This window comes from Homo sapiens, chromosome 7 (assembly GCF_000001405.40).
Source record: "Homo sapiens chromosome 7, GRCh38.p14 Primary Assembly".
Classification (NCBI taxonomy): domain Eukaryota; kingdom Metazoa; phylum Chordata; class Mammalia; order Primates; family Hominidae; genus Homo; species Homo sapiens.
In genome coordinates this window covers 112,068,312-112,082,845 of record NC_000007.14, presented here as the reverse complement: position 1 = coordinate 112,082,845, position 14,534 = coordinate 112,068,312, and the positions used below count along the sequence as shown (strand labels likewise).

The following is a 14,534-nucleotide window of genomic DNA, read 5'->3' as shown; positions in this document are numbered from 1 at the left end:
TTAAAAAATTATATATTTTTCAGATACATGAATAGCACTACCAATCTCAGTTGTTTCTGATATAAAATGTCTCAGCAAGTACTGTGGTGATTAGTATTTCTCTCTCCTTTCTCTTTTTCTATATAGTAAACTATAAGCCTTAAATCGTTAAGTGTAATGTAATCTGAGGAGAGAGAGTGAGTTGACTACTATCCATAAATACCTCTACATCTCCTTTAGTCGAGGGTTTAATATTAACAATACATTCTCTGTAGGCTTTTCCGGTTTCTTACAGGAAGAGAAAAATAATTTTGTAGCGAACAACAATTACGAAATTTATTTGATTTGCTGGGAAATCCCAGCGTGCCTATGGGTTGCCAATCCTATTATCCCCCAGTAAAGGAGTAGGGAAGGTAGATTTTGTACCACAGCAACCACCCCCGCTATTTCTAGCCATTCTTCCTTTTTTTCTCTGGCTTTCCTGTGAAATTACCAACTTCCTACCTGGCTTGCTGCTAATTGTTCAGACCCACAAATGGGGGCATGGTGATGGCTGTTGTTTCCTCTACTGACATTACAATAATGTATGAGACTCTCAGGGTTAACTGTGTATTTGAGATTTCACTAAGCATGATTGCATTAACATAGATTTCCTCTCCAGTCATGACACAAATTTTTAAAAAGTTTTTCAGGTTCAATATTTCATTACTACTGTTCCCTCTGCATCTACCCTTCCTACCATTTACTATGTGTCTATTCCATGACAGGTGCGGAGCTAAGAACTCTACATGTATAATGTCATGTAATTCCCCACGCCTCTCCAGCGTAGGTACTCTGATGACATCCATTTGTCACATGAGTATTCTGAGGCTGGGAGAACCTTCAGTGACTTGCCCAATTTGTCACAGAGCTGGTAAGAGGCAGAGCAGGGCCCCAACCCAAGTCTGTCTCTGGACTCATGAGCACTAGGAGATCTTGCGCATTACTCTGTGATCTTCCTCTTTTGGTCTTCACATTTTATACTGTGATACCTTAGATAGTTTTCCCTCTTTTTATTCTTGAGCCCCAGATCCAATTTACCATCTTTCTTTTTGACCCCTTCAAGAGAACAGCTACAAATAAATTATTTAATTTAATCAGCATTTATTAAACATCAGCTGTGTGTGGAGTATTGACGGGCACTGGAACTACCAAGATTTGTTTATTTTTCTGTCTACAAAACATTTGAGATAACTGACAAAGTACGTAAAATAAGAAAGGGATAAAAATAAGTTGCAAGACCTTTAAGACATAGTGACTTTCCTCCTGGGATCTTTCTAGAAGAATCCCACTTGAGAGTGGTTCTTCATGTTCTTGTTTTGTCTCCTTGACCTGCTCTGTGGGACATAATGAGTGTTCATCTGCACTTTTCGTGTCAGGCTTCCCTCAAGGACTCTGTCCTCACCCTGAGTCTGGGATGAAAGCCACCCTGATTTGTGACTGTAATAACCAGCTTCTCCTAAAAAGTTGGTGGTGTTAGGGATATCTTCACATGGATTGTCTTGTTTCCATGTGAAATAGTGTCTTAGAGCCCTGAGAAGTAGCTGTCATGTGGAAACGGAGTCATGCTTGCCTGCATTCTGTGTGTCTCCTCCAAACCTCACTACTTCCTTGAATTGCCCACAGGATTCGCATTCCTGTCTGACTGCGGGTTCCTTCTTCCTGTTTCGATTCTTTTTTCATGGGCTTTTTGCACCACTACCCGCCTTCCTGTCTCAGTATTTTTGTTGCTGGCTCATCCTTCTTGTCTTCTCAGATGTCAGCCTCCTATCCGTGGCCTGTGGGCTACTTGGCGGACCCTCTAGAAATGTACCTCGACAGTTGTTCATGTCTTTTAACAATTTCTTTTATATTGTTGAGCAGATGGAACAATTATTTAAGTCTATTTTCATTCCTCATACCCCACAAATCTACACAAGTGTTTAGTGACATAAGTGTAAATATTATTGAAACATCAAAATATCTTGCTGTCTGCATCCAGTTGCTAGTTCACAGCATTCAGGTGACAGTGGCTGTATTTGTAGAGCCTGAGGAAAATGACATAAGATGTTTTCTTTGACAGTGGTTGTCTTACGTATTTGGATATACCCATTGTGTAAATATGCGTTGAACGAAGGAGCTGTGTCATCCACATCTAACAGAGGTGAAAACAAAAGTCTACCATAAGGTCTGTCTGCCTTTAGCCAAATGGGAAGTGATGTTTCTGCACATTGTCACAAGTGCGTAGCCAACCATAACCTCTTCTTGAGCAACTTAAGCTGGCACAGGAAATCTGAGACATGACTAAATGACGTGTCAGGAAAGAAGAATTTCTGAAATGTTGTTTAAACAAAAACTGGCAGATATGTAACATTTCTCTATCAATGCAAGAAATCATCCTACATGAAAAAGGAAGCTCAAAATTTTGTTTATGTAAAAACTTTTTTAAATTACTTGAGTTTTGTTAACATTTATCCTTTTACATAGGGTTGCTAAAGTTAGCGAATAAATTATAGGATACCCAGTTAAAATTTAATTTCAGGTAAACAACAAATAGATTTTTAGTATAAGTAGGTCCCATGAAATGTTTATGACATATATATACTAAAAACTCATTCATTATTTAATCTAAAATTTATATTTAGCTTGGCATCCTATATTTTGTCTGGCAACCCTCCTTTTAAGAAAATCTAATAATCCATATTTACCTGATAGGTAAATTAGAATACTGATTCTTTTTTGAATGAAAATAATGTATTTTTTTAAATTTTTCTAACTTTAGTTCCTCTAATAGAAATTAATTTAGATAACTAAGGAACCATAGGAATTTAAAAGCTGACCTATCAGAAATAACTTCAGCTATATTACATTAAAAATGAAGAGATGGAATCTGAAATAGGAAAGTAAGATTTATACCCATTATTCAGCCAAAATCTGTTTTTCTTTAACTTCTACCCATTGTTCCTAAGTCTGCCCTCTGGGGGCTGTAGAAAATAATGAAGATGATGTTATTAATGATAACCAGTGCTTGCTGTAACCAGTTATGTGCATTATTTTATTGGATTTAATTTGTTTACTCTTTATAACAGCATGTGAGGGAGGTGCTTTTCTGATTTCCATTCTACAAAATAAGAAACTAAAGCACAGAGTAGTTGATTAGCTTAACCATAACCACATCTCTTTGTCAACTCTTAAAGTACCAGAGCTTTCATAGTTTTAAAGTTCCCAATTCCTTCTACCATTTCTTTTAGTACAGGGTCTCTAGACCCTTTCCTGTCCTCATTCAACTCTCAGCTTGTTGTGGCTTGTCAGTGCCCTGAAATATGTTATGGCCAAAATTTAAAAGTATACTTCATAGATCATATAATTTACAAGTAGAGTACAGCAGGATTTTTAATGGCCTTGGTACTAAAGTTATATTGCCAATAGTGACCCATGGATTAGCTGAGTTTTGTTTCGTTCTAGTTTTTGAATGGGGAATGTACTTTTACATAATACAGTTGGCTCAGGTTGACCTTTTAGTCAGGTGAAACTTCCAGGTTCTTATCTGTACTAAATGCAGGTAAGCAAAGTCTCCCTCAATTTCCACATGCACAGTTTGCTTTTTTAAACAGATGTGCAGGAATTCACTTGTATTTGTATAACTTTTAGAAATTGTCTCATTTTACCTTATTCTTCCTGCCTGCTATCATTCTTACATATTTATTTTTGTTTGTTTGTGTGAGACAGAGTCTCGCTCTGTTGCCCAGGCTGAAGTGCAGTGGCACAATCTCAGCTCACTGCAATCTTTGCCCCCTAGGTTAAAACGATTCTCTTGCCTCAGTTTCCCGAGTAGCTGGGATTACAGGCGCATGCCACCATACCCGGCTAATTTTTTGTATTTTTAGTAGAGACGGAGTTTTGCCATGTTACCCAGACTGGTCTCGAACTCCTGGCCTCATGTGATCCACCTGCCTCGACCTCCCAAATTGCTAGGATTACAGGTGTGAGCCACCGCACCCGGCCGTATTTTATATTTCTTTATAATATATCAAAAAGGCAGTACTGGTCTATGTTTGGAGCAGAGACCCAGACTCTGCAGGAGATACGTGTATAAGTGAGTGAGCTCCCTCCTGTTTCTCATCTCCAGACGTTCCTATGCCTCTGCTTTCTTCCCAGTTGGCTTGAGTAGATGTCCAAGGGATTGACATCAGCATGTCTATATTGTTTGACCATTTCAGCTTTGGGGAAGAAGGTTGGAGCTGTGTTACAACATTTCTCTCCCTTAAACTCGACAAACTCTTAAATCACCTTCCTTTGATATTCCACAGTGATCCTGCCTAGTTAAATATTTTTTTTCCTAAATCGTCTCTCTATGTGCCATGCCTGTAGCTGTAGCTTTGGTAAAGTTTGTTTCCAAAATAATAAGACTTATAATACCTTGTTCTTGGTAATCAAGAGAGTTAATAATAGGAAAAAGTATTTACCTGGGGGAATTGTAAACCATTTGTATTTCATATAAAAAATGACAGCTCTAGTTGTCTTGGACGTAGCTGGGAGCAGAATGTATTGAGAGAAATGGGGTAGAGTGTAGTGAGACAAAAGAGGCTTCTTTGTGTTTGTTTTCAAGGAAAGCTCAGATTTAGATGTAAACTAATTAAGCATCTTCTAACATTTAAAAAAACATGAGAGATAAAATCTTATTCATGCACCTGATAGTTCTAAAATTTTATGAGAAATTTGATGAATTTATGTATATTGAATTGATTCATGTATCAGTATACCATTTAGTAGAGAACAATTTTCTGTATTTTCATCATTATCAATAATTAGTGTAATTAATATCTATGCCAATACATTTAATAAATATAATAGAATTTTACTCACTTAGGCTTGTATTTCTAATAAATACAAAACACAAAGTGATCAACACTTATTATTCTCTTTCTGGGACCGCTTTGATGTGTCTTAGCTACCTTTTATACATTAAATTTATTATATTTTTAGCAAACCTATTAACTGATAAGTTTACTGATTATAATTTTTATTAGAATGAATAACATTTTATAAAAATTTGAGAGCATTATTCAGAAAATTACAAGTGCTGTATTATCCAGTGCTTTCTAGCATCAACATTCAGCCTAGAATATTGCCATGATACTGTATTTAAATAACTGGCATGTTAAAAAACACACACACGCACATATTAATAAATCATAGGTGCTCTGTGAAGGTAATCTATTACACACTATGGTTTAAAACATGATTTTATAATGCATGATACCACAACTCACTTTGGAATGCGTATGAATGATGTATTAGTGACTTTTTCTAAATACGTATTCCATCACTCTTAAGCACACTGTAGAAATGATGCGTAATTTTGTTTTATAAATAATATATCTTTAAAAGACGTTAGTTTCTATAAATATTTAAAATATTTTTGTAGTATAAAAAGTATAAAATGAAAAATGTTCTAAATTGGGTTTCATTTTATATGATGTCTTTCCCATAGTAGTTAATGTAAATACTATTCTATTTTTGTCTTTAATGTTCAGAAGGAGCCCAGCTATGTTGTGTTTTTTGCTAGTATGATGTTGGGCTAACTTTTATAGCATTTTTCCTTTTTGGATAACTTAATTTACCACGTAATTGTCCATGCTGGGGTGGAGCAAAGATTTATCCAAAAGGTTACTTTTATTAGAAAAGTGTACTGCTTTAGGGTTTTGAATTTCTGACTACTGGCTGACAGTAACCTTATTTGCTGAGTATCAGTTGTCGTTCAGTTACTCTTTCCCTGTCTCATTGGCTTTTCTCTCCCTGTTTCCCATTTTGACTTTATACTGAATAAAATCAAACGTCTAAGTACTCTACTTACTATATACACCTTGCCATTTATATGTAACAAGTCTCTTGCAGGAAAGTGTTCAAATGATGCGATCTTTGTTTTATGCTATTGGAAAATATACTTGTCAACCTTAAGAAATAGTATATTCAGTCAACGCTTCATTAAATGTAGTATTCTTTCCTGAAAAATAAAACCCAGTGCTCTGTTTAGTTCTTACCTACATTATAGTCTGCAAATAAGACATATGACAAATTGGTTGTAAGCTGAATTTCAATTTTAAATGAAAAATGATTTCTAAAAAGAATCTCATTTTGTTTCATAAAACCCTGAACACACTTTATATGGAATTTAGGACTCATTTGTAACCATAAAGAAATGATAATCAAACTTCCCAACAAGATGAGGTTTTGGGGAAATATGAATTAAACTGGCTACCTGGAGAATGTCCAAATATTGCAAAACATATTTTGAAAATATCAAGTGGGCCTTAGGGTGGAATTCCATAAATAATCAAAAAAGCCAGATGTCTTTGATCATGAAATAATTTGTGGAAGTGTGCCAAGGTGTTCTAAGCTTTCCTCATCTGTTTTTAAAATAATCCATTTAATATGAAAATGGGTTCCAAAAAATTTAACATTTTTTGCCAAATTCAGTTTGTCTTTATTAACTGATTCCCCAGATTCTAAATTAATGAATATGATTTTAAATATTTTAAGAACCCCCCCAATTCTTTTTCTTAGTTAACTCAAACCAGCAAACATTTATTGTGTGTTTACTGTAAACACGGTGTTATACCTGTTTCAAGGGCATATAAAAGTAAAAAAACAAAACATACTGTTTACCTTCAAATTACTGCAAATGATTCCAACAAAATAGTTTCCTGTAGTATTTTATAAAGAAAGTTCTTTAAATGGCTACCTGAAAATATTTTTAGCATTAAAGTCAACAAATATTTTAGGTCTTTTTCTTCACTGTAACAAATTCTAGGAGAATATAGAAAAAGTGTCAAATGTAGCACTTCTTTTTGACAAACTAATTTTTTATAATCTAGCCTAAAAGATAAGATAAAATATCAGATAGTGTAAGGACATGAGTAAATGGTAATTGTACTACAATTTTAAGTGTTGTAAAAGCTCACAGAAAATGAAAATTAGAAGTCACTGTATTATGTCAACACTTCTTTTGGGCTGGAAGAGCTAATTCCCATAATAGTATTTATTTCTGTAAGTTTTTTTTTTTTAAATAAGGACAAAGTTTAGCCCTACTTATGTTTGCACTATCAAAAGTTTCATTGTGACTATGCATGTGAATGGCATAGTGTGTTTACATCCAGGTTGAAGTACTTTGTAATGAAAATCTTTGGTTCAGAAATTAATGTTGTCGTATCAGTTTTTGAGATATGCTCAAATTCTGTTGTTTGTTGCCAATGAGTATGGCCCAAAATTTGGGAGATAGTTGTATTTAGCTATACAGTATTCAGTGAGTTGTATCTGAATTTCCTGCTAAGTTATGTAACTTTTCAGAGGAAAGACTTTGTCATAGTGTTACGGTTTCTAACTTATTTCCAAGTCCTCCCTCTAGGTGATGATTCCTCTATGAACTGTCCTCTTCATTACCATCAGTGTGGCACCATCCAAAGCAGGGAATTGCATGTGAGGCTCCCAATAGCTCTCTGTTGCCTGCAGAAAACATTTCTTAGCACCAGCAAAAAGTCCCTCCTCCAGTCTTGCCTCTCTTTCCCTGCAAAAATTATTTTCATGAGCAGGCTCTGCATTTTATATGTTGTTGGTACTTTCTCCTGGGTGAATACCTTCTTTTAAGTGCCTGGCTCAACTATTAGGTCTTCAGTGTCTTTCCCTGACCCCACTGTTATATTTTTCCACAATCAGTGTTTCCACATTTATTATAGCATAGTACAGATAGTGTATCAGTGGAGTCCAATCAGGGACAGAAACCACAACAGTTACTTGAACAGAGATACATCAATATAAAGAATTGTTAGCTAGGTAGAAAGGTGATACTTAGGCAACTGACAAGGCAGGAAGAGGACCCTAAGGGATCAAATGTGTTTCAACTGCAGGAAAGAGATTGGGTTATTTGAACATAGAAACTTAGAGGAGGAGCCCTGTAGAGCTGAAATAGATCTCTGAGAAGAGAATACTGCTCTACTAGTGCTGCTGTAGCTGACTTCAGAAGATGATCCCTGTGGGCCTGGGATCCAGGTCTTTAAGGAGGGTTGGCCAGCCAGCTGTTGGTGAGATCTCTGGGTAGAGGCTGGGGTCAGGATGAGGCTGGTTTTGCAAGTGAGAAAATTGGCCAACTGGATTGAAATGCTGCTAGAGAGAACTGCTTCTGCCCAGATGAAGTGTTGCCTGGGTAACACAGGAACCACAGACAGACAAGAGGCAAAATGGAAACATCCATAGACAGGAAGGAGTATGTCCCTTCTTCCTTCTCAGCCTTGCAGTCCCCCACTAGTATCCCCATGGCAGATCTAGGAGCCAGCAACTGGCAAAGCAGAAATGAGGTTTGCAGAATTGTTAGCCCAGCATCACAGAGGAGGATGAATTTGTAGTTGGTAGACAAAGGTTTAATAACCGACACAGAAGAATAAATGCCTTCTTCCTGTTTGGCTATGAGCCCCTTGATATAGGAGTTGTGTGTTATTTATTTCCAGTTCCCAAATATCTAAAATCTAAATCATTTTATAACTCATTTGACAGTAAAAAATCTAACCTGTGGATGTAATATTTGCTCATGTTGCTGCAAAAATATTAATCCTGCCTGGATACTCACCCACATCTGCCTGGGAGGGTTTATAATACATGATATTTAACCCAAATTATTTTGTAAAACCTGGAGAAATTATTTTTTATTTTTAACGTGAAAGTCATTTATGTGAAAGTAACCAAAAAGGCTTATTACACAGTAGTCAAAAGGCATGCTAAAACTCATTTTAGATACAACTATTTTTTCTCTTTTATTTTTACTGGACATGTAATCATTGTACAAATTTATGGGATACAGAGTGATATTTTGATTCGTGTATAGATTCAATTCATGTATAGAGTGTATAATGATAAATCGGGGTAATTAGCATACCTCAAACATTTAAAATCTTCTAGTTTTCTGAAAATATATAATAAATTATAATTAACCACCTTCACCCTACAGTGCTACAGAATACTAGAGCTCATTTCTCCTATCTAGTTATAATTTTGTATCTGTTAACCAACTTCTCCCAGTACCCTCCTCCCCCATCTCCTCCCCAGCCTCTGATACTCACAGTCCTACTCTCTACTTCCATGTGTTCAAAATTATTTTTAGCTCCCATAGATAAGTGAGATCATGTGGTGTTTATCTTTCTGTGCTTGACATATTTTGCTTAACATAATATCTTCCAGGCTTATCCATGTTGCTGTGAATTACAGGATTTCATACTTTTTTATGGCTGAATAATATTTCCTTGTATACATACACAATGAAATATTATTCAGCCATAAAGATTGAAATCCTTTTTTACATTACATTTTATTATCTGTAATAATACATGTAATACATGTATTATTTTACATTACATTATTGTAAAGAAAATACATTTTCTTTATCCATTCATGTGTTGAGGGACATTAAGGTTTATTCTATATCATAGCTATTGTGGATAATGCGACAGTAAACATGGGGATGCAGGTATTCCTTTGATATACTGATTTCCTTTCCATTGGGTAAATACCCAGTAGTGGGATTATTACTGGCAGGGAATCTATACAGGTCTGCAGCAACCTCAATTCTTGGCTCCTCAGAAGAAAAAACTTGATAGAGGGACATAGACAAAATGAGAGACCTAGGCAGGTTTTAGGACATGAGTGGAAGTTCATTAAAAAGCTTTTGAGTAGGAATGGAAGGAAGTAAATAATTCTTGGAAGAGGGCCAAGCAGACGACCTAGAGATCAAGGGCACTGTTTGACCTTTGACCTTGGGTTTTAGATGTTCCCATGCTTCTGGGGGTGTTGTGATCCCTTCTCCCCTGATTCTTCCCTTGGGGTGGGCTGTCTGCATGCGCAGTGGCCTGCCAGCACGTGGGAGGGGCTGCATGAGCAGTGTGATTACTGGAGTTGTACTCATGCTCACTTGAGGCATTCTTCCCTTACCAGTATAAAGTTCCCAGAGGAAGGTTGTATACCAGTAAAGCTCCGCCATTTTACCTCTTAGTGTGCATTTGTGAGACCACTTGCTCAGCTTCTGAGATCTTATCAGGAAGCTGCTGATCACCAGTTTCAGGTGTTGCTATCTGTTGGGAGATGGCCACTTCCTGGTGCTGGCTGCAACAAATACTATTTTAGGGAGACAGTTTAACAACCTCCTGACCATCACCTGATGGTTGCCTGACATTCCTGGTGGCAGGGGCCAGGTGAGGGGCTCTTCTGGCCTGCTCATGTCTGCCTCACTGCCTACTGTAACAGGATTGCTGGGTCATATGATAGCTCCAGTTTTAGTTTTTTGGAGAAATCTCTGTACTGTTTTTGCTAGTGGCTGTACTACTTTACATTCCTACCAACAAAATATAAGGATTCCCTTTTGTCTGCATCCCCAAACCTGGAGAAATTCTAAATTACACAACACATCTGACCCTAGCGTTATCAGATAAGGGATTAAGGATCACAAGGTCTAACAAAATGTCTTGTGTAGTTTAGTAAAGATTCCATGAATTGATAATAGATTGTTTACTAACTTCTTGTTGTCATGTTATTTTGCAAGCTGATACTCTGGTTATAGATAGATTTTTTTTCCACATGTGAGAATTTTTAAAGAGGTAATAAATCTGTGAGCTCTTTGTAGTTACTGAGTACATGGAAATATCATGGTTTATTGGAGCTTTGGAAAAGGATATGGAAGCTCTTTTGATAGAGCCTCAGAGAAAGAAAAGAGAAGATGTTTTGAATTCCCAATAGCTATGGTGTTCAAACAGGTTATGACTCAGAAAATAATTTTCACATTGGTTTGCAGGAAGATGAGTTCAGCAAGGTGAGGGATATTCTACTTCAATCTATGATAGTCAAGAAATTTCACTAAAATTGTAAACATATAGAGGAGGAATCTGGAGTTTCATTGGTTTGATCTTTTTAACTAGAAATATGAGATAATTCTTTACCCTTCCTTTGACAAGATTTTGATGGTAACTTCCTAATAGATTTATTTCTGTCAATATTACATATTGCTGTTGGTACATTTTTCTAAAGCTACTGTACTTTTAGTTTTTCCTCTGCTAAGGCAAGGACATCCAAATAAGAAGATTTTGGCAGGTAATTGTGAATAAAAATACATTGAAAGGTTAGAAAATATTTTAAAGGATTATACTTGTATTTCTTTCAGAAGATTGAAGACTGCTCTGAATACGTAAATACTTTTACAATTTGTATGGCATTCCTATTGGAATAGAATCATTCAATTTCGAGTAATAATAGGACTTTTTAACTTTTAATTTTTTATATGTTTGCATTCTCGTGGCAGAATAACAATTTACGGTTTAAATCAGGTAGGGTCTGTTAAACTTCAGACTATTAATATTAATCTTAATGATGCTGAGGAATTCCCTTTGTTTCTCCTCGGTCAGTATTGATTGGGTCTTCCAACATGTTTAATACACTCTGCCAGGTGCTGTGGAATATACATGAGGGAAAAGTCTGAAAGATAAAAATGAAGGAGAAATGAAGTAATAATTAAGAATAGTAGAAAAAAATCTGTGTCCGAGTTTTTACATTCATTGCCAGCATCAGATATCAACAAAGGTACAAGATATCAGGAGGAGAGCTCTGTTGTGGGCTGTGGCAAAGATAAAATCATATTATAAGCAATGCTATTATTTTAAAAACAAAATGATTTTGTAGAACAAATTGGTTTTTTCCTACTATCAGGTAACCCAAAGGCACTATTGATCTGGTGGCAAGGAATTCTGGGTAGTCAACTGTCTTCTGCCAACTGCTTTACTTACAGCATTTGCCTGAAGGCTTTTTGTTTTGTTATGTTTTGTTTTTTGCTTTTTAGGTAGAAAGAGGTCGTAGCTGAATGGCTCACATCTCTTTGGTCACTGTCACTGCTTACCTCGTGCCCCTTCAACCCAGCCATGTACACGACACCAGCTGATTCTTAAACGGTCACCTGAGCAAACTCATGAAGCTCCAGGGAATAGGAGGAGGAGGAGAAAGGCAGGGCCAGTGTGCCTAAGACTTTTCCTTTTCCCTTAGATTTAGGCGATTTCTTTTTTTGTTCACTTCCTAATATGAGCTGTGTCTCATGACCTCAGTTTATTTTTATTTTTAATTTTATAGTTTTTTTTTAGTGGTTCATTTTAATAAAACTTTATCACCAAAACAACCCATGGCTTCAAATACAGTTTTCAAATCTCCGTCTCTGGGCAGGCCTTTTTCCTGGGCTTCAGGAACCTAAATATTCAACTACTCCTTAAATACTGTCAGCTTGTTATTCCACAGGTTCTAAAATTCAGCCTGAATAAAACTTAAATCCTATTTCCCTGAGAAATATTAGGTTGGTGCAGAAGTAATTGGTGCAAAAGTAAGTGTGATTTTTGGCATTTTTTTTTAATGGCAAAAACCACAGTTACTTTTGCACTAACCTAATATATCAATTCCCATAGTTACTCTCAGTGAATGGCATTATCATTCATGTGCTTGCTTAAGCCCGAAGTGCTGAAATCATAATATCCCTTCCTTCTTCCTCCCACCCCTGTATCTAAAGGGTTCCCATCTACTTCTAAGTCCACATCCTAAATAGTCTTTTAATTAGTCATCTCCTATTTAACTCTGTTGTCATTATATTCATTTGGCCTGAAGATTTCCTGCCTGCTACTATAGCTGCTTTCTACCTAGCCCTATTGTTCTTTCACCTCATCTAATCCATCTTCCACACTGCCATTAAAATGAACTTGTTGAGTTGTGATTCTCATCCTTGACTGCTCCAAATCCTTCAATGGATCACCATTGTTTTCTGGCTAAGATCGGAACTCCTGTCAAAAACTGACCAGCTTTTCTTTCCACCCTAATGTTCCACTATGACTCAGTTTGTGTACTGTGTAACTCTCTTCCCATGGCTGCACGTGCCCTTTTGTTTCCATCCTTTGCTCTTCCCTCTTCCTTGCCTGTTTGACAATTTCTAGCTTGGTACTTTCTGTTTTAGGAGGCATTTTCTATTTTCCTTTATTTTTCTTATTTCTTTTTTAATGCAGTGGATCTGTTTCAATGGAGAGACATTTTCTATTTTCTACCGCTGAGTTGGGTACTCTTGATCTTTGCTCTGATACCAGTCCATGCTCTTGTCACCGTATATCCACCACCACCACTAATTGTAACAGCAACAAGAACAAGGAAGCCAAGTTTTAAAGAGAAAGCTCTTGTGTGAGGCTCTTTGTACTGTATATGTGTTATTTCATTAAGTCCTCAGAACGACCCTGTGAGACAGGTGGGTACCATTGTCTTTGTCTTAGAGGTAAGGAAACTGAGAACGACAGTTTTAGCCAGTTTTCTCTAAGTCTTCCAATAAGAGGTAGAATTGAGATTCAAGTAAGTTATTCTTAATGTAGAGTCCTATCTAGTAACAATGACATGATGCTACTTACCTCATTAGGCTGAGAGCCCCTTAAAGGCAAGAATTATGTCTTTCATTAATAGTTGGTTGAGTGAGTGCCTGAATGAGAAGATGAGCAAAGGCATGCGTGTTATAAAAACATTTAGCCTGCAGTGCCAACAATAACTCAATCTTCTCAGGAGAAAAGTACTGAGCTGTTATCCACCCAATGACAAAAGTTTGCTCGGTGTACAAACTTGGTGTTACGTAGACGGCTTGGTGTACAAGCCATCACTGTCTGGCAGTACTAATGTCAGGCAACAGATAATCATTTGGGCACTCAGAATAGCCAGTCTGTTATTCAAGATATGCAAGAGTGCATTTTAAATGTCAAGCACATTTACTTCTTTGAGGGAGGCACATTTTATACAGGAGTGAAGAATTAGAGATAGAAGTTGGAAATTCTTCCTAATGATATCATTCATTAATATTTCTCTTTTTTGTTGTTTTTAAATGTTTCAGCTGGTTATTTTCATGTTAACTCATTAAAAAAGTTATTCTCTGGTGAGGCACTTGGGGACAATCAGAAGAGATAGAGATCCTACATCTCAGGGCTCTCTGAATCCTCAAGAAGTACCTTGGGACATTATTTCAATCAGAGTGTGAATACCCACTAACTACAGAGCCTACAAGAGGTGCTTGGGGATGCAGGATGAATGAGACACCATGTCTGTCTCTAGAAAGATGAGTCTCGCTGCAGCCGATGGGAATATCAGAGAAGATATTTTGCTCTTTAGGTTGCCTTATAGGCTTCTCATTGCCTAAGGCAGAGTCATAATTATAATAATTTATATGCATTTGCAATGTGTCAGGAACTGTGCTAAGCACTCAATGTGGGTTCTTTTGTCTAATTCTCACCATAAGTTTATGAGGTAGATATTGTTACCTCTGTCTTACAGATGAGGAAACTGAGGTTTAGAGAGGGTAAATAACTTGTCCACATTCACATACGTAGAAGGGATGGAGCTGGAATTCACACCCAAAGCCAGTGTGCTCTTAATCATAGTACTATGCTACCTCCCTATCTGACCCAAAGCAATCTGGGTAAATATAACTGTCAAGATCATTA

The 14,534-nt window shown here is 36.6% G+C and overlaps 1 protein-coding gene across 12 annotated transcripts in view, besides 1 other annotated feature; it reads left to right on the top strand.

The window, feature by feature from the left end:
* The window catches only part of DOCK4 (dedicator of cytokinesis 4), a 480,290-nt gene that overhangs the window by 123,554 nt on the left and 342,202 nt on the right, over positions 1-14,534 (top strand). The gene's annotated exons all lie outside the window — the stretch shown is intronic.
* Positions 2,282-2,331: an enhancer, noted in NCBI's record as "active region_26508". NCBI's record gives its function as "activates an Ori minimal core promoter by ATAC-STARR-seq in GM12878 lymphoblastoid cells {active_cell/tissue: GM12878}" and the evidence as "EXISTENCE:reporter gene assay evidence [ECO:0000049][PMID:35858748]".